This window comes from Homo sapiens, chromosome 6, assembly GCF_000001405.40.
Source record: "Homo sapiens chromosome 6, GRCh38.p14 Primary Assembly".
Taxonomy (NCBI): domain Eukaryota; kingdom Metazoa; phylum Chordata; class Mammalia; order Primates; family Hominidae; genus Homo; species Homo sapiens.
Genome location: NC_000006.12, coordinates 20076149 through 20103564, shown reverse-complemented (window position 1 = coordinate 20103564; position 27416 = coordinate 20076149). Strand labels below are relative to the sequence as shown.

Here is a 27416-nt window from a genome sequence, read left to right as displayed (position 1 = left end):
AGCTACTTGGAAGGCTGAGGCAGGAGAATCGTTTGAACCCAGGAGTTGGAGGTTGCGGTGAGCCGAGATCACACCATTGCACTCCAACCTGGGCAACAAGAGTGAAACTCCATCTCAACAACAAACAAACAAACAAACAAACAAAAAACCAAAACAACAACAACAAAAACGTGGTACAGGTATACAAACATTTTTCTTTATATTTTTTGTAAGCTTTTTTCTATTTTGTTTTTTTACTTTTGAAACCTTTTTTGTTAAAAATTAAGACACAAACACCCATCAGCCTAGGCTACACAAGATCAGGATCATCAATATCACTGTCTTCCACCTCCACATCTTGTTCCATTGTGGGAGGTCTTCAGAGGCAATAACATGCATGGAGCTGTCATCTCCTGTGATAACAGTGCCTCTGGAATCCCTCCTGAAGGACCTGCCTGAGGCTGTTTTACAGTTAACTTTTTTTTCTTAATAGGTAGAAGGAGTATATGCCAAAATAACAATGGGAAAGTATAGTATTGTAAATATATAAACCAGTTACATAATCATTCATTGTCATTATCAAGTACTATGTATTGTATGTAATAGTATGTGCTGGCCTTTTATTCAACTGGCAGCATACTATTGTTTACTCCAGCATTACCACAAACATGTGAACAATGCATTACACTATGACATTACGATGGCTACGACGTCACTAGGTGATAGGAATTTTTCAGTTCTATTATAATCTTATGGGGCCATCATCATTAATGTGGTCCATCATTGGCTGAAATGTCATTAAGTGTCATATGACAGTATTGGGTTTGAATTTGGTCTTGGGAGTCCTTAGACTTTGAATATTGGGGGTGTCTGGCTGTCGTGGGGTTAATTCTGTTGGTTAGCCTGTTATGTCAATGGGACGGTACCGTGTGTATCCACAGATGAGCCAGTTGGTTTGCCCTGCCCAGTTTTGTGGTTTCAGTCTATCTGTGACCCGCTCACCTACCAAAGGGAGTTATCTGTGGAGCAGATTGAGGGAAGCCTGAGTGTAGACAGGCCTCCTACTGCCAAAAGCGGTGCTCTCACTTGTCATACTGTAGGTGATATAATTAGGTGGTGTTTCCCATCTACATCCTTATTTGAAATATAATTTTTGTATATTTTTATTCCCAGGTCCATGTACTTTTATTTGCACATCATAAGTCTCCTGATAATACTATTTCTGCCAATGAAACCACAAGCTCATACGCAAAGGCGGCCTCAGACTCTGAACTCTATTAATAAGAGAAAAACAGATTGATACCTCCAAGAGAAGCGGAACAAGCAAAACTGCAGAACGTTCGAAAGATGAGATGACAAGGCTTCAAGGGCTCCTCCGGTGGCTTAGAGGCGATGTTTACATGCATCTTTATTTTGTTCTTTTTTAAAGTGCAGGGAGTATTTTTTTTTTTTTTTTTTTTTTTTTTTTTTTGAGACGGAGTCTCGCTCTGTCGCCCAGGCTGGAGTGCAGTGGCGGGATCTCGGCTCACTGCAAGCTCCGCCTCCCGGGTTCACGCCATTCTCCTGCCTCAGCCTCCCAAGTAGCTGGGACTACAGGCGCCCGCCACTACGCCCGGCTAATTTTTTGTATTTTTAGTAGAGACGGGGTTTCACCGTTTTAGCCGGGATGGTCTCGATCTCCTGACCTCGTGATCCGCCCGCCTCGGCCTCCCAAAGTGCTGGGATTACAGGCGTGAGCCACCGCGCCCGGCCGGGAGTATTTTTATAAAGCCTTTTTGTACAGATTAATCGGCCATGTCCAGGTTATTGGTTTTGATATTTTATAGGACATTTGAGTGGTGTGGCGATGTGTAGAGAATGTGCCAGAGCTGCAGAGACAGTCCATTCTGGGCTGCTGGCTTTTTGCCCTTCCTGCATGATTTCCAGCTACTGTGACCTGGATGCTGGGAACCCAGGCATCGGCTCCAAAAATTAGAAGGCGAGTGCTGAGAAGACTTGTCACAGGTTTCTCAAATCAGAATATACTCAGTCATAGTGGTTCCCTGGGAAGCCCCAGACCCTTTGACTTGTGACATTACTGGTTTGCAGACATAATAACTACACTCAGAGGACCATGGAGGCAGAGGGATCATGGTTTCAGGGCACTGAAAACTCTACGAGCCAAGAGGACTAGTGCATGGACTGAAAGTCAGGCATGCCCTCAAATAGGCTGTATTTTCTTTCCAGGAATGTAACCTTTCCCCTTTTTCTTCTGACCTGAGCCAAGATTGGAAATCAGAAAGTCTCCTGTACATGGAGCTGAAGAGGGGCTGCTGTTTTCCGAATGTTTTCCATTTCACAGGCGCCACCTGCTTGCCCGGGGTTGGTCTTGAGAAGACACCCAAATGTTCATGCCTCAGAAAGGCAGCAGAATGCCTTTTAGGAAATTTTTTTAAAGTAATTTGAAGTTATATAGAAGTTTGGTAAGAAGAAGCAGTTGTTTCTCTCTTTTCTCCCTCATTTCATGGAGGTGTTAATGATCATGGCTGGCCGTGATGTACACATGGGCTGATTTTCATTTTTTCAGTTTCATAGCTGAGAAATTCAGCTTTGTTTTAGTTGAATCATCATATTGGAAAGCAGACATTGAAAGTTTTCTTTTCTATCTTTGTTATGAATGTGCTATGGCCCCTTTTGGAGACTTCTATTGGGTAATATTCTATGTGAGAGAAGGAAACTTGGTATTAAATGTTGTGGAAAATAATAATGATGATAATAATAAAGTATATGCTGCAATGGTGTACTGCCAATCAGATTGCTTGGGAGAAGAAAATTTATTCAAATCCAACGATAAAAAATTAATTTCTTATTGAATAAACAGTATGTTCCCATATAAAAGAAATGTTTCTGATGGGAATAATTGCTTTTTGTCTGTGTCAATAGAGACACAGGTCCATAAGGTGTCCTACTGCTGCTTCTCTTAGGATAGTGAAATGTGAATGTGATGTGCCTGTTCCTCTACAGCATGTAAACAGTCCTGGTGCTGGGGGAGAGTACTAGAACCCAAACTTTAGTCCTTATTTGGGACAGTGGAAGTTAAGAAGTAGTAGATGTGAGCTAGTGCATGAGTCTCACCCCACTTTAACAAGGAAATCTTGGGGCAACCCTACTTCGCTGTCCCAGGAAGAATCTTAGATAGTGGGTAGGGGAAGGGGGTTGTAGGTATCTAAAATCTGTCAGAGTTTGTCTCCACCAAGAATAGTTTGAGGTACGAGACCAAGAAAAATGTACATCTTGCAAACTAGCAAAAATGGTAAATATTACCATTGGTGTGGAGTATGTGGAATAATCATATTACAGTGAAGTCTTTGAATTTACAATGTGATTGATGATCAGGTTTCACTGTATGTAATGTAAGTATCCTCATGTCTGAAAGAAGAACTTGGTAATGAGAGCAGAGGTGTCTGCTTTGGTGACCAGCTGCCCTGGTTTGCCAAGGACTCTCTCAAGCCCTCAGTCCTGGGCAAGCTGGGGCCATTGGTCCCACTAGTGACTGCCCAGAATTGATTACTCCTTATGGGATGAGGAGAAGTCAAACCTCTAGGAGTTGAGCTTATGGATGCTATATGTCAGACTTGGTGTTAGGCCCTGGGACACAAACATGAGGCTTTATTCTGTATAAAAAGAACAACACATAGGAGACTGATTAGCATCCTTTTTCTTCTGAAAACCACTTACCCATAGAAAAAGATTTCAACTGAGGACCAACATTTAGACGGAAGGTTGGGACTGTTTTTATTACCTTAGATTTCCAAGTTGTCCTAAATATAAGATGCAGTTCATAAATACTTATTGGAATGTGAGCTTTCAGTTGAAAATAAATACACTTTCTGGTTTTGTTTTTGAAAAAGCCAAATCTAAAATATTGCAGTTGTTTTTTTTTTTTGTACTTTGAAGGTAACTATATGGAGCAAGAATATTATTCAGATATTATTCAGTGGTTGCAAAAAGCAATAAATAATTCAGTCTGAGATTTTGACTGGCTAAGAGAGAAAAAGGCGGGAGAAGAAAACTGGAAGAAGAACAGAGGAGTTAGCAGGTGACCCCCAGAACTGGTGCGGCGTGTGTCCCTCCATTACTCTGCAGGCTCCCAGACGGTCCTTTTCAACTCCCACTGCACATTGGAACCACACAGGAAGCTTAAAGAAAGTGATTGATGCCTGGCTCCTCCAGGGACCACATCTTTTTTCTCTTCTTGTCTCTGGGATTTGGCATAGTGCCTGTCCTGTAATGAAGATTCAGTAAGTGTTTGTTGAATGAATGAGGGATTGAATGAATTAGTTTAATGCATCATTGCCCTTGACAGTTTTGACTGAGTCACTTTTGCACTGGGAAACATCATTTCTGCTTTTCAGAATTAGTTTCCGAAATAAAGGCTTGTGTTTTCAGGGAATTCTGAAAGTACATTACGTGATATAATTACTCAGGCAGCCAGTTTACATAGTCTGAACCCCTCTGGTCCACCCTTCCATTAATTAATGCATTCACTTATTTATCAAATGTGTCATGTCTGGTGTGGGCCTGGTACTCTGTGAGGCACTGCAGGTAAAAGATGCTGAAGTCCCCCATTCTCTGCTCTTGGAGAGTTCACGATATGCCCAGAAAGACATGATCCGGAGGAGTGCACAGTAGGAGTGCCCAGGAGAACTCCAGCATTCAGAAATTATAAAGTGATGGATTGCCTGATTCTTGTTTTCTTAGAGTGATCTCATTTTACAGTGTTGAGAGTTACCCAGGACAGCAGCATCACTGCTCTCCAGCCTCATGTCCAGGTGAAGTTAAGCTTGCCCTTGTGCTGAAATTGGGTATTGAGCTTGCAACATGTCAGTGCCAATCAATGCAGCAGGTACCCAGTGGAGCAGACTGATCTCTCATGGTTCCCCGTAGGGGTAGTAGGGTGGCCAATCCCCCTCCGGAGGGATCTTTAGTGAAGTTTGCAGACTTAGTGAAAGACTTCATGAAGCTCCAGAGGAAAGGTATTTGCTTAGAGAAGGTGCAGCCCATGTGAGCTTTGTCTAATGCGCTAAAATTATCTGACGCTACTTACTCTGTGCTAAGACAAAGAAAACTAAGTTATTGGCAGCTACTTTCACATGCATTCCTAACACAGTCTGTGAACTTGGCAGTATTCTCTTTTGCAAATGTGGAAAGCAAGTAGCCAGTAACTTGACGACAGTCATCCAGCTAGTTAGTGGAGGAGCTGAGGTTGGAATCCTGGTTTGGCTGACTCCAGGGTCCATCCCACCACCTGGTGCAGAGCACGTTCATTTTCAAAGAAACGGAGTTTTAAAGCTGGAAGTAACTCCAGCACTCACCTGGTCTAGTGGTTTCCAAATGCTGACCAGCTGGCCTTGTCACTTGGGGAGCTTGCTAAACACGCAAGGAGTGGGGAGATAGATTTGCTGTTAAGTTGCTGATGGTCACCATTCCCTTTTCTCAGGGGAACGGTGTGATTGATATCAACGTGGGATAATGGTCGTGTTACCATAACCTTCTTCCCAGTGGTTAATGGTGATTATATCCTGGTGGAATGGGGAGGTGAGAGCCTAGCTAAATTGTTTACATCAAAAAGAAGGCCTTTTGGAACATCTGTGATTGCTTTGTGTTCCTAAAAGACCTTTTGTTTAACATGGTTCTTTTAATGCATTTTGAGATATGCGAAGTTTGGCCTAGATTTTAAGTAGCTGGTATATGTAAACTTTGGGGAAATTGGGCAGAGACTACTCAGTGGAATAAAGAGATGGCAGAAAATTGGGGCCTGAGGAGAAAGGAAATTCCCAGTGGGTGGCCTGGTCAGGGAGACCTTTAAGAATAGGAAGGTGGAGAATTACTGGATTCTTACGTAATGTTCCCCTCTACTACCATAGCTGGAGACACATTTCATCTTTAAAAAGAGAACTAAACCTGTTTCTAGTTTAGGCTGGCATTGGGAGGAGATAAGAGAACAGACTAAAATATGCCCAGCAGTAACCTAAGCCTCCCTCAAGAATCAATCTCGAGAAATACAAAATACTAGCCATGGGGTTGGGGAATGGAGCTATGTTCTCCATTATTTGAATTTCTAAATCCAGGGGCATCTTATAAAGCGGTAGACCTTAGGGATCCGCAGGAAACAGATGCCCTCACAGATTTTTGATTACAAACAGACTCCTGGGTCCCACTCCCCAGATATTCTGATTCAGTTGGTCTGAAGCCATGCCTGGGAATCAGTATTCTTAACGAGCTTCCCACAAATTCTGATGTACAGCCAGGTTTGGGAAGTACTGGCTTCATCTTATTTTTTACATTTGAGGAAACTGAGGCTCAGGGTGGGTGGGTGGTTTAATGTCTTGCCCCAGGCATCACAGATCACTTCTGTAGCAGAGATGAGGGTGGAAGCACCTTCTCTTGACCCACTAGGGTGTACTTCCCACAAATAGCCATGCTTTCTCTAAAAAACACCCAGCACGGTGGGTCTCAGAGGAGCCCTCTATCTTTCCTGGGACATTTTCTCAGCTGGGAACACCCTTCTTAGGCCTGAAAATGAGTGTCCAGGTGAGGTGGGTGTTTCCTGGGGACCTATAAGTCTGCACTCTCCGAGTGTGGGTTGGCCTCCGATCCTACGCAGCCTCACAGACAGTTTTATTGTAACTGCTGATCCAACCTGTGGAGGCAGACGGGGAACAATTTTCTAGAAAAAAGCCTTTCTGTGTCCACATGGCCCTCAGGATCCAATGGCCCCTTTTGTTCTCGAACAAAGAAAATTCATAGGGGATATGCACTTTTGGCATTACGATTTACACTGTCTAAGCAGTTGCTGGCTACAATCAATCGTCCATTCATCCCTGGCTTTCTTTCGGTCTATTGTCTGCTTGATGGGCAAAATGGCCTTTCAGCATTTCCAGCTGCAGTCCCAGGTTGCAACTGTCTCTGTGTCCGCTGGTCTGGAAAAGCCACCAGATGCTGGGACAAGTTTTCTGCATGGTCACTGGTAACCTTTTCCCTCCAGTCCTCCATGCTGCTGCCTGGGACTCTTCCTGGTGAGCCCTTCAGGATGCTCCTCTTCATCAAAACTCCTGCCAGCTCCTGCTGTCTACACCATAAAACCCATGCCCTTCCCTTCCACCCTCACCAGCCTGGGTTCCTGGCCCTCCTTTCAGGCAGGCAGCTGTTCCATATGCAGCCAGCGTTTGTGACTTGGTGCCTTTGTAACTTTAAGTTCTGCTGCCTAAAAGAACAACATTTTTTGAATAGGCACTTCCCAAAGCAAAAAGGGCAGAAGGCCTTTTAGACAGAGAAAATGTGCCGTACAAGTTGCTATTTTTCCTGTGAAGTCCTTCTCACTTCTAGCTTCTGCTCATAGATCCCTGATAACACCTTGTGTTGTGATTAGCTTGATGTCATTTGTCCTTCCCCAACCAGATTGCCAGGTGCCTGACAACTCATTTCTTCATACCTGGCAAGTCTCTGACTCAAAAGGGTATTGGATCAATGTTAGTTGAACAAATGAGGGAATGAATGAATTCCATTAGCCATGGCAGGATTTTCTCTGGGATAATGAAGAGGGGCCATCTCGGATAGGTGGGTTGAGTTTGGGGTTCTGGCCCCTGCATTTAGTGACCAGCACTAGAAATGGCCCTAGTGAAATTGAGCCTATGGCTCTCTATTTCCTAGTCCCTTAAAGTCCAGGCTTTCCCTTGATGGTGGTGCTCAATCAAGTTCTCTGGGCCTCTAGGATTCGGGTGGGGTAAGTCCAGCATGCTGGAACGAAGTTCCTACGAGTTTTCCATTTCCTGGGAGTCCATACTGGACTTCCGTCTTTTACAGCTTTTGGTAGTTAGTGGTTCTGTTAGAGACTATGTAGTGTCTCATTGTCTGTATAACTGAGAATGTATTCATCTGTGCTCCTCCCGATGAACTGGCTAGCCCTGCCATAACCAAGTACCACAAGCCGCATGGCTTAAACAACATAAACATTGTCTCATGGTTCTGGAGGTTAGAAGTCTGAGATCAAGGTGTCAGCAAGTTTGGTTTCTTCTGAGGCCTCTCCTCTTGGCTTGTGGCTGCTGTCTCCCTACTGTGTCCTCACATGGTCTTCCCTCTGTGTGTCTTGTCCTAATCTCCTTTTTTTTTTTTTTTTTTTTTTTTGAGACGGAGTCTCGCTCTGTCACCCAGGCTGCAGTGAAGTGGTGCAATCTTGGCTCACTGCAACCTCACCTCCTGGGTTCAAGGGATTCTCCTGCCTCAGCCTTCCAGGCAACTGGGATTACAGGCGCCCGCTACCATATCCGGCTAATTTTTTTGTATTTTTAGTAGAGACAGGTTTTGCCATGTTGGCTAGGCTGGTCTCAAACTCCTGACCTTAGGCGATCCGCCTGCCTTGGCCTCCCAAAGTGCTGGGATTACAGGCATGAGCCACCATGCTTGACCATCTCCTCTACTTATAAGGTCACCAGTCATATTGGATTAAAGCCCACCCTAATGACCTCATTTTAACTTATTTACCTTTTCAGAGACCTTGTATCCATTCACATTCTGAAGTCCTGGGGGTTAGGACTTCAACATATGAATTCAGGAAGGATACAGTTCAACCCATAGAGACCTTTAGTGGTTCTTGCTGTTTCTGTGGTAATAAACTGTGCTATGGTGAACGTTCTTTTGTATTTCTCTGGTGACAGGGTGGACATCATGCAGTGGCATTGCAGGATCTTAGTGTAAAGAAATGCACTCTCAGCTTGCTCGGGTGCTCTTGTTCTCCAGCTGGTTGTATGCGTTTTTTCTTTCCCCAAAATGTGTAACAGTTTTTCTTTGTCCACATTCTCATCAGTACTTGGTATTAGCAGACTCTTATGTTTTGCCAATTGGATCAGTGAGAAAAAATGTATAGAGAAATGTAATTCTCAGGCCAGGTGCGGTGGCTCATTCCTGTACTCCCAGCGCTTTGGAAGGCTGAGGTGGGTGGATAATGAGGTCAGGAGTTCAAGACCAGCCTGACCAACATGATGAAACCACGTCTCTACTAAAAAATACAAAAATTAGCCGGGCATGGTGTTGCACGCCTATAATCCCAGCTACTCAGCAGGCTGAGGCAGGAGAATTACTTGAACCTGGGAGTCGGAGGTTGCAGTGAGCCGAGTTTGTGCCATTGCACTCCAGCCTGGGTGACAGAGTGGGACTTGTCTCAAAAAAAAGTAATTCTCCCTGCTAGGCCTACCTTCAGCTCTCTGTTTTCATCATCTGGATGCAGCCAGTGTTATCTTCTTATGTGGCCTTTCAGAGAAATTCTGTGCCCTGCATCGAGCTTTTCAAGTTGTTGCAAATGTTTTACATCATAAGCATTTCTCCATATTATTGCAGAAACTTCCTAAAAGTTGTTTTTGATGGCTGCATAATAGTGTGTAAATAAATGTGCTATAATTTTGAAAAGCAGTCCCCTAATGGTTGGGCATTTGGTTTCTGCTGCTTTATTTAAAAAATATATTCCTTTTAGAAAAATTTGAAAATACAGAAAAGGAATAAGGCATCTATAATCCCAGCCCCTGTTGGCATTTTATTTCTAGTTTTTGTGTTGAAGGTTTGTTTTGTTTTGTTGTTTTATATTTCTGGTTGTTCTTTGGTATCGGCATTTATCTGTGGAAAAGTCTAATGCTTCCTATAGAGTTTGGAATTTTAATTTTCCATTTAACTTTACAGGATGAGAATGTCCACATGCCATGAAATCTCCCGTCTCTTTCTCTCCTGCTCTAATGAGCATAGCAAGGAATGAAATCCAGTGAAGTTGTAATGGGGGTTGACTTGAATGCGGTTAGGTAATTTATTTAATTTTAAGTGGAAAATCACTTGCAAACCTTAACTCTTTAAACTATTGCTAGTAAGAAATGACTTTTACATATTGTATAGTCCATCACAATGTGGAGATTGAGGCCTCCTTCTCTGAACCGTTTAACCCTTTGCCTGGCGAGTGACTGTTTGTTTAGCCTCTCAGTAAATGGGATGTATTTGTTCTTCCTAAGAAGTTAAGGTGGCGATTGCTGAGCATTCTAAGCATTCAGAGTGTGAATGAATGAATGAACAAATAAATGAATGCTCGACTTCCTAATTCAACATGGAAATCACCAGAAATTCTTGATTAATTCTTCCCAGCTTTAGAGCATTCAGCCTCAGGCTTCATTTAAAGTCTACATTTTTTGCGGTATCTCTTGAGGTAGATTTAAGAGAAAACAAGGAAGTGGTCCCAAAACGTATGCAAAATAACTAAGCCTTTCTCAATGATGAACAAGAAATTCCCTCTGTCCAAAGGATCTAAAATTCTTGACTTGGAATGGGATTTTTCTGAAGTGGTGTGAAATATGGACCTTTAAGGCAAAACAGCTTTTTTGGCCTATAAAGTTGAATGATCCCCAAACCCACCAAGCAGCTTCTTTTTATGAATGAGCTTCCTTCCTTCTCAGCCCCATCAAACTTGAATGGCTAATTGATGAAGATTATTTATCAACAATTTCAATAAGAAATGTTAGGAAGGGGAATCTAATAGAGAATGCCAATAAAATACATCAAACTCTAAAACTTTCTAGGACTGTTAAAAATCAATCTACAAGCATCAGTTGATCTCATGAATAAAATATTTCCATCAAAATAAATTTGAAGTTTATTTTATCAATGTTAAATATAGCTGAAGTTGAAATATCAAGCTTGGTTAACATTATTTTGGTGTATAAAAACTTTTAAGAACTTGAAATGATGATTTGCAAACTGGAGTCTCATGATACTTAAAAAAAAATACCAATAAGCCCAGGACAGCCCTGAACTGAATAATTAAATGCATTAATAGCTTATGTAAACTCACTGCAGTAATTTGAACCTTATTCCCGGTAAGGAAGGTGTGAGGCAAACATTTCAAGAAGAAAGCACTATTTAAAACCCCAGTGTGCTGCCTTTTGGATGTTGCTGAATCACTGTTTTTTTGTGAATCTGAAGCAATGAGAGAGGTAGAATTACAAGAAAGTGCTGAGAGAAAGCTTTGCAAACAGAGCAGGGTAACAGAGTAGTCAAAGTGTCAATCCTGCCTTTGTTTTTGCTGAGAAGTCCCTGGAAACAGGTGAGTGATTGACTTCTTGATTAATGCTTCCCAGCTTAAGAGCATTCAGCCTCAGCCTTCATTTAAAGTCTACGTTTTGCAGTATCTCTTGAGGTAGATAGACTTAAGAGAAAACAAGGAAGCAGTCCCAAAACACATGCAAAATAACTAAGCCTTTCTCAATGAGGAACAAGAAATTCCCTCTGTCCAAAGGATCTAAAATTCTTGACTTAGAATGTGATTTTTCTGAAGTGGTGTGAAGTAGTGACATCTTGTGGCCATGTGAGGTAATTTCTGATGATTTCCATGTTGAATTAGGAAGTCAAGCATTCATTTGTTCATTCATTCATTTGTTCATTCACACTCTGAATGCTTAGAATGCTTAGCAATTGCCACTTTAACCTCTGGTTTTTTTTTGTTTGTTTGTTTTGGAGATGGAGTCTTGCTCTGTCGCCCAGGCTGGAGTGCAGTGGTATGATCTCGGCTCACTGCAACCTCCGCTTCCTGGGTTCAAGCGATTCTCCTGCCTCAGCCTCCTGAGTAGCTGGGACTACAGGTGTGTGCCACCATGCCAGGCTAATTTTTGTATTTTTTAGTAGAGACAGGGTTTCACTGTATTGGCCGGGCTGGTCTCGAACTCCTGACCTCGTGATCAGCCCGCCTCAGCCTCCCAAAGTGCTGGGATTACAGGCGTGAGTCACTGTCTGGTGTTTCTTTTGAACAGTAAATGATAGTCTTTCGGAGTAAAGGTCAGATTTTAATGACCCTATTGCTATAGGGTCAAATAATGAATTGTTTCCCTGCCCTGTCCTCTCTCCACTGTAGGAAAAAAGCACACAGGAGGGTGTGTAAACTCCAAGGAGCAGAGATGCTGAAGGCAAAATAGCTTCATTTAAGGCAAATTTCTGCCTCTACATGCTGTGTGACCATAAAAAAAGTGAGCAACCGGCTCTGAATACTTTTCTTCTTAGGAGGAATGCTAGCAATTATAATTACTCTTCAGAATTGTGGGGATTAAATGAGTTAAACCATAATATGAGTTATGAAGCTGACAGAATTCTCAAATGATGATATAGTGGAAATAGGTCATTGTGATATGGGGTCATATAAGTTCTTTGGAGATCAAGTTTCTTGTGTGTAAAAGGTGGGTATTAAATAAGCTGACCAGCATGGTTGCTTCTGCTTCTAACATTCCATAATTTGATGTTTTTCTTCACACTCTTCTGAACCTCTTTATTTCCAGTAGTGAGCTTCTCAACACTTATTTTTTGGCCTATAACTTTGTAGTATTTTGTTTCCTAGGTAATAAGTTCTGAATGACTTAAAGGAAAATACAGGTGTTTTATATGTTATCTTCCACCACTGACATTTCAGTTTTATGGTTGGAGCAGTTAGGCAAGTTTTTTTTTGCGGGCGGGGAGGTAGGGGAGCGGAAGGATGGAGTCTCACTCTGTCGCCCAGGCTAGAGTGCCAGTGATGTGATCTCAGCTCACTGCAACCTCCACCTCCTGGGTTCAAGCAGTTCTCCTGCCTCAGCCTCCGAAGTAGCTGGGATTACAGGCGTGCGCCACCACAACCAGCTAATTTTTGTATTTTTTGTAGAGACAGGGTTTTGCCATGTTGGCCAGGGTAGTCTCGAACTCCTGACCTCAGGTGATCTGCCCACCTCAGTCTCCCAAAGTGCAGGGATTACAGGCCTGAGCCACTGCGTCCAGCCATTTAGGCAAGTTTCTGAATTTAGAAAGAAGCACAAACATTCTGGCAAATATTGAAGTCTTCACTCTGTGCCTAGCAGACACAATAAATAACATGCCTTGTTCACACACGGAAGTGTGAAGTAGGCATAGGTTCTCTTCTGGCCCATGGTTACTAGGCCAAGCAATGCAGTGAATTAATCTTTCTAGTTCTTCCTTCCCAGCTCACTTGTTTCTCAACAAAACCTGGGACTTGGATAAAATTCACAGATTGAGTTTATGTCTTACCATCGTGGGGGAAAATATTTCGAAACAACCTATCTTTTAGGCAAGTCTATTCTTTCCTTCCTCCCTTCATTTTTTCTCTTTCTTGTGATTAGTTTTCTAAACACTGCAAGACTAGTTCCAGAACCTCATGAAAAGAGGTGACACTCTATTTCATCCCACGTTTTGTTTGTAATTCAGTTTATAAAGTGCTTTCTCTTACATTATTTCCTTTGTTTCCCAAACCAACAATCTAAAGTTAGTGGAACCAGATGTTACTATCCGTTTTAAAATTAGGAACCTGAGGCCTGAATAACTTGAGTGAGTTTCCCATGGACACACCCACAGTAAGTGATGGCAACAGAATCGAAACCCTGGGCTTTCCCCTAGGACTTAGGTCAGGCGTCGCCAAACTGCTCAAGTTCATTTTAAGAATTATATTGGCAGGGCACGGTGCCTCACACCTTTAGTAACAGCACTTTGGGAGACCGAGGCAGACGGATCACTTGGGGCCAGGAGACCAGCCTGGCCAACATGGTGAAACCCCATCTCTACAAAAAATACAAAAATTAGCCAGGTATGGTGGCACATACCTGTAATCCCAGCTACTCGGGAGCCTGAGGCAGGAGAATCACTTGAACCTGGGAGATGGAGGTTGCAGTGAGCCAAGATCATGCCACTGCACTCCAGCCTGCATGACACAGCGAGACTCCATCTCAAAATAAATAAATAAATAAATAAATAATTATGCCAAAAATTCTTCTTGTGCTACTTGAATAACTTATAACTTGTATTTAAAATTTGTTTGTTTTGGTCATGTAAATAAAATTGGGAAGCAGAAAAAGTAAGAAACAGAAAAAAATTGTTTTTTAAGCTTTGTTAATCTCCGAATGATGGATAATCCCTTTAGAGAGAAGGAAAGGCCGACAGACAGTCTTGGGTTATTTCCCCATATGTAGACCCTGAGATGAGGATTGAATTTAAGTAAAAGTAGTTTGTTTGGGAAGTGATCTCAGGAAGCATTTGGAATGGGGAGGTGAGGCAGGGAAGGGACGGATGCTAATGCAGAGTGCATTGATTAGCAGATGACCACTGTGGGCTCTGGGGCTCAGCACACCAGGTAACTCTGTGAGACTGCACAGAGCACACCTCATTCATTCCACTGGAGAGAAGAGGAGGCTGGGGTGCTCATGGACCAACTCTCGTTTGTCACTGACACAACTCCCAGCATCATAGAATGTCCTGGAGGTAGGAAAAGCATGCTCAGCAGTTGGAGAGAGCCCCTTGGCGCAGTTGTAGAGGATTGCAGTAAGAAGCTGCTGCCTGCACAGGAAACATGAGTGTTGAGAGTATGTGGGCAGGGCACGCTAGCCCTGTCCCCTCTACCCATACACCTGCTCTGCCTGTGTCTTACGTGATTACCGACTGTGATTCACACATCTAGCACCATGCAACATGCTAACGGAGACGCAAAATATTTGTAAGGATCTAGTACCTCTTCTTATCACAATAGGTTGATTGAAAATCCGTGCACACCTGAAAAAGTAGCACAGTAAGAAGGCTTATTGTCAAGTGTCAAAATGAGTAAAGCGGACGTCAAATACTACAGAGGCTCAGAGAAGGGAGTAATCAACTGAGAAGTCTTGCTGAGGAATTTGGGTGGGAAGAATGAAGCTTGAATGTGGGACCAAACAGGCAGGTGTGCCGCATCCTTCTCACCTGTCCTCTATACAATGGGAAGTTGAAAGTTTCCCCCTCCTCTGTCAAATTAATATATGAAGATAAGGCTGGGCACAGTGGCTCACGCCTATAATCCCAGCACTTTGGGAGGCCAAGGCAGGCGGATCACGAGGTCATGAGATGGACACCATCCTGGCTAACACGGTGAAACCCTGTCTCTACTAAAAATACAAAAAATTAGCTGGGTGTGGTGACACGCACCTGTAGTCCCAGCTACTTGGGAATCTGAGGCAGGAGAATCACTTGAACCCAGGAGACGGAGGTTGCCGTGAGCCGAGATTGTGCCACTGCACTCCAGCCTGGGCAACAGAGTGACACTCTGTCTCAAAAAATAAAAAATGATAAAATAAAAGAAGATAACTTAAAAAATAGTTTAGAGGCTTATGAGGGAATGTGATTAAAGGTAGATCTAATATTTTTAAAATAATTGATTAAAATAATTGATTCAAAGTGACAAAGGTGCTACTACTACTACTAAACCAGATGGGTGGGGTACTGTTAAAGTCATGCTTAAAATTTATAGCCTTAAATTTATATGTTAGGAAAGAACAAGGTATGGAAATAAATGATCTAAACTTTCATCTCAGAGGTTAGCATCACGTAAGAAAATTAAACTCCCCAAAAAGTTAGAAAGGAGAGAATAAAGGTAAGAGGAAAAGTTAATGAAATAGAAAACAGTCAATAAAGAGGATCAGTAAGACTGAAAGTTCATTCTTGAAAAAGGAGCAATAAAATTGATAAACTCCTGGATATACTGATTTAAGAAAAATAGATAGAAAACACAAACAACTATTACCAGGTATCAAAAAGGAGACAATACCATAGATCCTGATGCAAACAGGATCCTTTTCAAATGCAAATTTAAAAGATTATAAGAATATCATGAACAGCTTTAAACAGTAAGTTTGATGAGTTAGATGAAATTGACATGTTCTTTAAAAGGTCACAACTGACCAAAACTGACACAACAAGGAATATAAAAATCAGAATAATCTTATAACTATTAAATAAATGGGATCTATAATTGCCAACTTTCCCACGAGGAAAACTTTAGCCTCAGAGTCTCAATGGTGAATTCTTCCAAATATTTAAGAAAGAAGTAACGCTAAACTTTTGCAACTTTTTCAAAGAATAGTAAAGAACAAAGATAATCTCTAATGTTTGAATAACCTTGATACAAAATATAACAAACATTATAAGAAAACTACAGGTGAATCCTACTCAGAAACCCTGAACAAAATATTAATGAAGTGAATGGAGCAATATGTCAAAAGGATAATAAACCTTGCTCAGATTGGTTGATTTTGGGAATGCCAGTTTGGTATATAGCATGCTCACAGAATAAAGAAGAGATATTATAATGATCATTTTAATAGGTACATGACAAGCAATTGGATACATTCAAGATCTACTCAAGATGTTAAAATCCTTGGCAAGTCAGCAATAGAAAGGAGCTTCTTTTATCTAATGAACACACAAAAACCTATAGCAACCAACATGTGATAGTGAAAAGTTGAAAGCTTTTTCCTTGAAATTAGGGACAAGAAAACATGTATTAGAATTACTAGTAAATGCAATAAGGCAAGAAAAAGAAATACAGGAGAAAAGGGTTGGAATGGAAGAGATTTTTTATTAAATAGAGTTTTATAGTTTTATACATAGAAATCCTATAGGAAATACATACAGATAAGTTATTAGAATTGATAAGTGAGCTTAGCAAAATCATGAAATACAAGGTCTATATACAAAAGTACTTCCACAATACATATAAAAGAAAAAAGCAAAAAATCCAGACAAATAAATACATATTACAGGACCCCATTTTATGTAAAGTCCAAAAACCAAGAAAAACTCAGGTATATTATTAGAAGTCATGACAGTTACTTTTGAGGAAGAGGAAGGTGTAGTGATTGGGTGTGGGCAGAAGAGGTGCTTCTAGGGGGCTAGCGCACTCTTTCTTGATCGAGATAGTTTTTCACAGGTGTTCACTTTGTGATAACTGAGCAGTACACTTATGTTTTGCTCACTAATTTACATGTAGGAGAACATTTAACACAATAGAAATCCCGGTAGACCAGTTTAGTAAGCAATAGTATCTATAAATAACATATAATTTTAACTTTAGAAACATTAAATTATTTGAAGGCAATTGGAAGAAAACCAACCAGCATTAATTTATAAGCACAGAATCCACAATCAAATTGTGGCAAAAAGTAATTTTGCCATTACTTTTAATGGCAAAAACCACAATTACTTTTGCACGAACCTAATATAAATAATGAAACCTAAACATGTGTCTTTAACAATTTCTGGAATACTACAGGTGCATCACTTCTTCCATCCTCTCTGGTTACATCTGTGTCATTAGTTATGTAATTATGTATGCATGTGTCACATCTGTGACACTAACGGATTGGTATCTCTGCCTGGAGGAACCTGGGGTCTGAAAAAGGTGCTTGGTAAATTGACCTGGGATTGCAGTGACCTTAGCAGCCTCTTGCTTGGAATGCTCTTCCTGCACACTGCTCTGCCCTTTTCTGCTCCTGCTCCTTCCCCAGTCCTGCCTTCCAGAGGCACCCAACTTCAACTCTGCATATCTTTCTTCAGTTATTTCATCTCCATATTTCTACTTAGCATCCTACTGACATTTTTTCATTTACCCATTTTAGACCTCATTCGTTTCGTTGACTTCCTATTATGGTTCTTTGTACCTCTTTAAACCTCTATTCACTTAACCTTCCTCTACTCTCCTAAGATTCAATATTTACATTGTGTTCTTATGTAAATATTGTCCACCCTGGAGCCAAGTGGTGTGTCATGATAACATTTCCTTTCTTGAACAACTTCTATTTTGCCTAGATTAATAATTGTCTTGTCTATCATTTGCCCAGTTTTCTTTATACCTATTGGTCATCCTTCCCAACTATCTCATATATCTCATGAGTGTCTCTCAGTATTATTTCTCACATGGTCAATATCTTCAGAATATTGATCAATTCCACTTTTAACCACCCCACCCCCCCAGAGATACCTTCCTGAAGCCTTCTGTTTTCCTTCAATCTAGACTCCTTGCTCTCTTGGGTGGCTGCTTATCTTCATCCACCTGGGACTTGCCTTTGCCACTCTCCTCTATTGAATCCCCTGTTTCTTGGAGTCTTTTGCATAACTCTTTCTTGGTTTTCTCCATTTTTTTTTTACTTCAATCTTTCTTCTGATGCTACTCCACTGGAGTAAGAGAGAAAGATTGTTCAGGAGAAAGATTGCATGAGACATGATGTCTAGTCTACTCAAAACTTTATTAAGAGGTTGATAGGGTATAGAATTTATGGATGAAAGCCATTTTCCTTTAGAAGTTTAAGGAAAAATAAACCTCCATCAGTTGCTCCATTGTAGATTGTTTTTATTTTTGGCTCCAGAAGTTTTTAGTTATAGAAATGTGTCATGTTTTGATATTTCTTTATGTCTTGGTGTGGGTCATTCTTTATTTACTATTCTGGACATTCGGTAGATCCTTGCAATATGCAAAGTCAAGTTTCCACAGTACTGGGAAATTTTCTTTTATTATTTATTTGAAAGTTTCCTCCTTTTGCTATCCCTTCTCCCTCTCTGGGACTCTTATTAGTCATACGTTAATTTATAGTTCATTATTCTTATTGAATTTAAACATTTCATGTGCTTGATTTCAAATGTTTTGTATTCTCTAATTGTTCCCTTTTAATGGGAATTTGTTCACTTATCTCAGAGGAAGAACAATGACAGGCAACCAACAGTGAGCCCTACAACTATGAAAAAGGGACATGGGACTCAACTTAGTGTGAGGGAACAGAGAACGCTTCTTTGTAGATGTGACATCTGTGCTCAGCTAGGCTTAACTAAGCAAAAAGGAAACTGGGGGGCACACATTCCGGGAAGAAGGAAGAGCCTATGTAAAAATCCTGAATAGGGAAGGTGTGCAGTGCATTAGCAAAGAACTGAAAGTGGCCAGTGTGATTAGAGTTGAGAGCAAGGGGGAAAGCAGCTCATAATGAGGCTGATAATGTAAGCAAGAACCAGACCATTCAGGGCCTCTGGCTACATTAAGCATTTCAGAGTTTATCTTAAAGGCATGAGAAGTTATTACAAAGTTCAAAGCAGAGCAGATCATGTAATGCTAAATTTTATGGGTGAAAGTTTGATGAGAAACAGGATATTTATATAGTGTCAAAGTACTTTGCCACAAAATACTTACTGACTGCCAAGGGAAAAAAAATAAATAGAGAAAGCTATCAGACACCACTCTAACCAAGTGATCAAAGTTACCATTACCACTAATGGATGAATCAGCATCATGTACCTCCTCATGTAATGCACTGAGAAGAACATAACATCACTCTGTGATACTTCTGCTAACAACGCATGCCTGGATCAGATTGTGGGAAAACATAAGACACACACAATGGGAGGGACATTCTACAAAGTTCCCTGTATTCTTTTAAAACACACACACATACTTACACAGTGAAGTATCAAAAGACAGGGAAAGACTGAGGAACTGTTCCAGGTTGAAGGAGACTGAGGAGACATGGCAACATGTGATCTGGGATGGATTCTGGACCAGCACTTTTTTCTCTTGCTATAAAGGGCATTAGTGAGACAACTGGAAAAAATTGAAAAATATCTATAGATTAGACCTTAGATCAATGTCAATTTCCTGATTTTCATAATTGTATTGAGGCTATCTCAAAGAATATCCTTGTCTTTGCACACTATAATACTTAAGGGTAGAAGGGCATCTTGTGTGTAACTTACTCTCAAATGGCTTAGGAGAAAAAGTAGAGATAGAATGAATGAGAATGAGAGTTACTATGAAAACAAATGACCCATGATAAAACATGATAAAATATTAATACTTGTTGATGCTCAGAATTCAGGAAAAATTAATATTTGGAGAACCCAGGTGCAATAAATTCTTCATGCTGCTTTTGCAACTTTTCTGTAAGTCTGAAATTATTTCACGATTTTAAAAGAGATTGCTTAGACTGCAGTAAGAGAAGCCATTAAAAGAGGACAAAAGGGGATACAGCACATGGAGCCCATTTAGCAGGCAGTGTAGGCATCTAAGAGAATGCTTACGGTAACTTGGTGTTGAGTGGTCGCAGTGGAGTTGGAGAGGAGTGGATGGAATCAAGAGGTATTTAGGACACGAAGTAGACACGAGTGGAGAAGGATGTAGAGCCAATGGGTGATGCCATTCACTGAAATAAGGGAGAGTAGGAGATGCAGGCTTAAAGAGAATGATGCTAAGTTCTATTTTGTACAACTTATATAAGATATCTTTAAAATATCCAAGAGGAGAGTTAGAGTAGGCAGTGGATTTGTAGCTCCAGAAATCAGGGACGGGTTCTGTGCTGAAGATAATAGTTTGAGGCCATTTAGCACATAGATGGCAACTGAAGCCGTGAGCATGGGTGATGTTGTCTAAGGAGCAAGTGGAATAGAGAAGAAGGCTAAGAAAGCCCAACATTTAAAGGTTGGATAGAAAGGAAAACAAATGTGTTCAGCTTTGGAATGAAAATGGAGATGCAACCGCAGGTTTTCACATGGTGAAAATAATTATAAAAGGATATTATATGCAATTCTATAATGTATTGGAAAATGTAAAGAAAACAGATAATTTTCTAGCCAAAGACAAAATAACAATTACCAAACTTTGGCAGACTATAACTGTAGAAGAGTAATTCTACATAATTACATAATGCAATTCTACATAATTACATAATACAATTCTACATAATAAGTAATTGTAGAATTACTCTTCTACAGTTATAGTCTTCGCACCACTTGTAGGGTCATTAAGAATCTATTTACCATTGAAAAAAGGAGACTTTTAAAAAAATACTTGAGTTCTTTATAACTTTCAAAGAACAAAAAACGTCTGTTTCTAAGGTCATAACCTTGGAAACACTCTTAGTTTGGAAGCAAAAGAAGGTAGAAAGAAATGATCAAAGACTGAAGAGGAGAAGAAAAAAAGTGCAATGATATGATAATTCAAAGAGACAGGAAGGCTAAATCCTTCCCTGGTTATTGAACTGGTATTAATCATAAATATTTTCCTTCTCACTACTCGATAGGAATAGTTAGCAGTATCTCTGGATCAAGTCAGAATGTGACAACCAGATGTTTGACACGTGTGACTAATTATATAATATGGAATATTTGCCAGGTGTTGAAGAGAAAAGTTGTAGTATGAAAATATAGGTCTCGTTAAGGTCTGATTTTCTAGGAATCTGCCATTGAAGATTTGGGCACAGTACTAGTATCTCCAAGAAGTTGATGTTGTGTTTGGAGTTAGGCTGATCCCTCTTCCTCTCGTTTGCAAAGCCCGACAAAGGGAACAGGCTAACTTAATCATATGCTGCTGGTTTGTACTCTCACTGGATGGATCCTGGAAACAGACCAAGGTAATGGCTAATCAGGGTGCTAGCAAAAGAGGTTGGTTGACAGAAGGGTGGTCATGAGATATCACAGCCTGAATTTTTTTATTTCAATTGGTTTTTGGGGAACAGGTAGTGTTTGGTTATATGAATAAGTTATTTAGTGGTGATTTCTGAGATTTTGGTGCACCCATCACCCAGGCAGTGTACACTATACCCAATGTGTAATCTTTTGTGCGCCACCACACCCCCTTTCCCCCAAGTCCCCAAAGTCCAATGTATCATTCTTATGCCTTTGCATCCTTGTAGCTTAACTCCCATATATGAGTGAAAACATATAATGTTTGGTTTTCCATTCCTGAGTTACTTTACTTAGAATAATAATCTCTGATTTCATCCAGATTTCTGCAAATGCCATTATTTCATTCCTTTTTATGGCTGAGTAGTATTCCATGGTGTCTGTGTGTGTGTGTGTATATATATATATATACATATATGTACATATATATACTATATATACATATATGTACATATATATGTGTGTGTGTGTATATATATATACACACACACACATATATATGTATTCCATGAGTAGTAATTCATGGTGTGTGTACATTTCATATATATATACACACACACACACACACACCATATATATATATGTATATACACATATATATATACACACCACATTTTCTTTATCCACTTGTTGATTGATGGGCATTTGGGCTGGTTCCAGATTTTTGCAATTGCAAATTGTGCTGCTACAAACATGCATGTGCAAGTATCTTTTTCATACAATGACTTCTTTTCTTCTCAGTAGATACCTAGTAGTGGTATTGCTGGATCAAATGGTAGATCTACCTTTAGTTCTTTAAGGAATCTCCACACTGTTTTCCATAGTGGTGGTACTAGTTTACATTCCCACCAACAGTGTAAAAGTGTTCCTTTTTCACCACATCCACACCAACATCTATTAATTTTTGGTTTTTTGATTATGGCCATTCTTGCAAGAATGAGGTGGTATTGCATTGTGGTTTTGATTTGTACTTCCCTCAACATCATTAGTGATGTTGAGCATTTTTCCATGTACTTGTCCATTTGTATATCTTCTTTTATTTTATTTTATTTTATTATTATTATACTTTAAGTTTTAGGGTACATGTGCACAATGTGCAGGTTAGTTACATATGTATACATGTGCCATGCTGGTTTGCTGCACCCATTAACTCGTCATTTAGCATTAGGTATATCTCTTAAAGCTATCCCTCCCCCCTACCCCCCCACCACAACAGTCCCCAGAGTGTGATGTTCCCCTTCCTGTGTCCATGTGTTCTCATTGTTCAATTCCCACCTATGAGTGAGAATATGTGGTGTTTGGTTTTTTGTTCTTGCGATAGTTTGCTGAGAATGATGGTTTCCAGCTTCATCCATGTCCCTACAAAGGACATGAACTCATCATTTTTTATGGCTGCATACTATTCCATGGTGTATATGTGCCACATTTTCTTAATCCAGTGTATCATTGTTGGACATTTGGGTTGGTTCCAAGTCTTTGCTATTGTGAATAGTGTTGCAATAAACATACGTGTGCATGTGTCTTTATAGCAGCATGATTTATAGTCCTTTGGGTATATACCCAATAATGGGATGGCTGGGTCAAATGGTATTTCTAGTTCTAGATCCCTGAGGAATCGCCACACTGACTTCCACAATGGTTGAACTAGTTTACAGTCCCACCAACAGTGTAAAAGTGTTCCTATTTCTCCACATCCTCTCCAGCACCTCTTGTTTCCTGACTTTTTAATGATTGCCATTCTAACTGGTGTGAGATGGTATCTCATTGTGGTTTTGATTTGCATTTCTCTGATGGCCAGTGATGGTGAGCATTTTTTCATGTGTTTTTTGGCTGCATAAATGTCTTCTTTTGAGAAGTGTCTGTTCATGTTCTTCGCCCACTTTTTGATGGGGTTGTTTGTTTTTTTCTTGTAAATTTGTTTGAGTTCATTGTAGATTCTGGATATTAGCCCTTTGTCAGATGAGTAGGTTGTGAAAATTTTCTCCCATTTTGTAGGTTGCCTGTTCACTCTGATGGTAGTTTCTTTTGCTGTGCAGAAGCTCTTTAGTTTAACTAGATCCCATTTGTCAATTTTGGCTTTTGTTGCCATTGCTTTTGGTATTTTAGACATGAAGTCCTTGCCCATGCCTATGTCCTGAATGGTAATGCCTAGGTTTTCTTCTAGGGTTTTTATGGTTTTAGGTCTAACGTGTAAGTCTTTAATCCATCTTGAATTGATTTTTGTATAAGGTGTAAGGAAGGGATCCAGTTTCAGCTTTCTACATATGGCTAGCCAGTTTTCCCAGCACCATTTATTAAATAGGGAATCCTTTCCCCATTGCTTGTTTTTCTCAGGTTTGTCAAAGATCAGATAGTTGTAGATATGTGGTATTATTTCTGAGGGCTCTGTTCTGTTCCATTGATTTATATCTCTGTTTTGGTACCAGTACCATGCTGTTTTGGTTACTGTAGCCTTGTAGTATAGTTTGAAGTCAGGTCATGTGATGCCTCCAGCTTTGCTCTTTTGGATATCTTCTTTTGAGAATAGTCTATTCATATCTTGGCTCACTTTTTCATGGGATTGTTTGTTTGTTTTTTTTGCCAATTTGAGTTCTTTGTAGATTCTGGATATTAGTCCTTTGTCAGATATATAGATTGTGAAGATTTTCTCCCACTCTGTGGGTTGTGTGTTAACTCTTATTTCTTTTGCTGTGCAGAAGCTTTTTAGTTTAACTAAGCCCCATCTATTTATCTTTGTTTTTCTTGCATTTGCTTTTGGGTTCTTGGTCATGAAGTCTTTGCCTAAGCCAGTGTCTAGAGGGGCTTTTCCAATGTTATCTTCTAGAATCTTTATGGTTTCATGTCTTAGATTTAAGTCTTTGATCCATCTTGAGTTGATTTTTGTTTAGGATGAGAGATGAAGATCCAGTTTCATTCTTCCACATGTGGCTGTCAATTATCCCAGCAGAATTTGTTGAATAGGATATCCTTTCCCCACTTTATATTTTTGTTTTCTTTGTTGAAGATCAGTTGGCTGTAAGTATTTGGCTTTATTTCTGGGTTGTCTATATGCCTATTGTTCTATATGCTTATGTTTATACCAGTACCATGCTGTTTTGGTGACTATGTCCTTATAGTATAGTTTTAAGTTGAGTAATGTGATGCCTCCAGATTTGTTCTTTTTGCTTAGTCTTGCTTTGGCTATGCAGGCTCTTTTTTGGTTCCACATGAATTTTAGAACTTTTTTCTAGTTCTGTGAAGAATGATGGTGGTTTTTTTTTTTAAATAGAAATTGCACTGAATTTGTAGTGTGGTCATTTTTCTCAGTATGGTCGTTTTCACAATATTGATTCTATCCATCCGTAAGTGTGGGATATGTCTCCATTTGTTTGTGTCATCTATGATCGCTTTCAGCAGTGTTTTGTAGTTTGTCTTGTAGAGATCTTTTATATCCTTGGTTAGGTATATTCCTAAGTATATATATATATATATTTTTTTTGCAGCTATTCTGAAAGTGGTTGAGTTCTTGATTTGATTCTCAGCTTGGTCGCTGTTGGTGTATAGCAGAACTACTGATTTGTGTACATTAATTTTTTATCTGGAAACTTTGCTGAATTCATGTATCAGTTCTAGGAGCTTTTTGGATGAGTCTTTAGGGTTTTCTAGGCATATTATCATATCACCAGCAAACAACAACAGTTTGACTTCCTCTTTACGGATTTGGATGCCATTTATTTCTTCCTGTTGTCTGATTGCTCTGGCTAGGACTTCCAGTACTACGTTGAATAGAAGTGGTGAAAGTGGGCATCCTTGTCTTGTTCCAGTTCTCAGGGGGAATGCTTTCATCCTTTCCCCATTCAGCATAAGGTTGGCTGTGGGTTTGTCATAGATGGCCTGAAGATGTGTCCCTTCTATGCTGATTTTGCTGAGAGTTTTAATCATAAAGGATTTTGTCAAACGCTTTTTCTGCATCTATTGAGATGATCATGTGATTTGTTGTTAATTCTGTTTATGTGATATATCACATTTATTGACTTACATATGTTAAACCATCCCTGCATCCCTGGTATGAAACCCACTTAATCATGGTGGATTATCTTTTTGATATGCTGTTGGATTTGGTTTGCTAGTATTTTGTTGAGGATTTTTGCATCTATGTTCATCAGGGATATTGGTCTGCAGTTTTCTTTTTTTGTTATGTCCTTCCCTGGTTTCAGTATTAGGGTAATACTGGCTTCATAGAATGAGTTAGGGAGGATTCCCTCTTTCTTTATCTTTTGGAATACTGTCAATAGGATTGGTACCAATTCTTCTTTCAATGACTATTAGAATTCAGCTGTGAATCCATCTGGTCCTGGACTTTTTTTTTTGTTGGCAATTTTAAAATTACCATTTCACCCTTGGTGCTTGTTATTGGTCTGTTCAGAGATTCTGTATCTTCCTGGTTTAATCTAAGAGGGTTGTATATTTCCATGAATTTATCCATCTCCTCTACGTTTTCTAGTTTATGTGCATAAAGGTTTTCATAGTAGCTTGGAATAATCTTTTGTATTTCTGTGGCATCAGTTGTAATAGCTCCCATTTCGTTTCTAATTGAGCTTATTTGGATCTTCTCTTTTCTTTCCTTGGTTAATCTTGCTAATGGTCCATCAATTTTATTTATATTTTCAAAGAACCACCTTTTTATTTCATTTATCTTTTATATTGTTTTTTTTTCAATTTCATTTATTTCTGCTCTGATCTTTGTTATTTCTTTTCTTCTGCTGGGTTTGGGTTTGGGTTGTTCTTGTTTCTCTAGTTCTGTAAGGTGGGACCTTACATTGTCTATTTGTTTTCAGACTTTCTGATGTAGGCATTTAATGCTATGAACTTTCCTCTTAGCACTGCTTTTGCTGTATCCCAGAGGTTTTGATAGGTTGTGTCACTATTATCATTCAGTTCAAAGAATTTTTTAATTTCCATCTTAATTTCATTGTTGATCCAATGATCATTCAGGAGCAGGTTATTTAATTTCCATGTATTTGCATGGTTTTGGGGGTTCTTTCTGGAGTTGATTTCCAATTTTATTCTACTGTTGTCTGAGAGACTATCTGATATAAATTCAATTTTCTTAAATTTACTGAGACTTGTTTTGTGGCCTATCATATGGTCTAACTTGAAGAATATTCCATGTGCTGATGAATAGAATGTACATTCTGCAGTTGTTGGGTAGAACATTCTGTAAATATCTATTAAGTCTGTTTGTTGTAGGGTATAGTTTAGGCCCATTGTTTCTTTGTTGACTTTCTGTCTTGATGACCTGTCTAGTGTTGTCAGTAGAGTATTAAAGTCCCCCACTATTATTGTGTTGCTATCTATCTCATCTTTTAGGTCTAGTAGTAGTTGTTTTATAAACTTGAGAGCTCCAGTGTTAGGTGTGTATATATTTAGAATTGTGTCCCTATTTTCCTTTTGAACTAGTCCTTTTATCATTGTATAATATCCCTCTTTGTCTTTTTTAACTGCTGTTGCTTTAAAGTTTGCTTTTTCTGATATAAGAATAGGTACTCCTGCTTACTTTTGGTGTCCATTTGCAAGGAATATCTTTTTCCACCCCTTTACCTTAAGTTTATGTGGGTCCTTATGTTTTGGGTGAGTATCCTGAAGACAGCAGAAACTTGGTTGGTGAATTCTTATCCTTTCTGCCATTCTGTATCTTTTAAGTGGAGCATTTAGGCCATTTATGTTCAATGTGAGTATTGAGATGCGAGGTACTATTCATTGTGCTATTTGTTGCCTCAATACCTTTTTTTTTTTCATTGTGTTATTGTTATAGAGGTCCTGTGAGATTTGTGAGGTTATATTTTGGTGTATTTCAAGGATTTGTTTCAAGATTTAGAGCTCCTTTTAGCAGTTCTTGTGGTGCTGGCTTGGAAGTGGCGAATTCTCTCTGCATTTGTTTTTCTGGAAAAGACTATATCTTTCTTTTACTTCTAAAGCTTAGTTTTGCTGGATACAAAATTCTTGGCTGATAATTGCTTTGTTTAAGGAGGCTAAAATAGGACCCCAATCTCTTGTAGTTTGTAGGGTTCCTGCTGAGAAATCTGCTGTTAATCTGATAGGTTTTCCTTTATAGGTTACCTGATGCTTTTGCCTCGCAGCTCTTTAGATTCTTTCCTTTGTCTTGACTTTAG

At 39.7% G+C, this 27416-nt stretch overlaps 1 protein-coding gene across 3 annotated transcripts in view, besides 1 other annotated feature; it reads left to right on the top strand.

Moving 5' to 3' along the window:
- MBOAT1 (membrane bound glycerophospholipid O-acyltransferase 1) overlaps positions 1-3881 on the top strand; it is a 112786-nt gene extending 108905 nt beyond the window's left edge. For all 3 annotated transcript variants that reach the window (NR_073465.2, NM_001080480.3, XM_006714999.3), the window contains one exon: positions 1153-3881. Coding sequence is in view for 2 of the 3 variants with exons in the window: in NM_001080480.3 (NP_001073949.1) it covers positions 1153-1279 (127 nt within the window). In the remaining variant the exon portion in view is untranslated. The remainder of the gene's footprint in view (positions 1-1152) is intronic.
- Positions 10869-11372: an enhancer, noted in NCBI's record as "OCT4-NANOG hESC enhancer chr6:20092424-20092927 (GRCh37/hg19 assembly coordinates)". NCBI's record gives its function as "activates a minimal SCP1, AML or CMV promoter by ChIP-STARR-seq in primed H9 embryonic stem cells {active_cell/tissue: H9 hESC(primed)}" and the evidence as "EXISTENCE:reporter gene assay evidence [ECO:0000049][PMID:30033119]".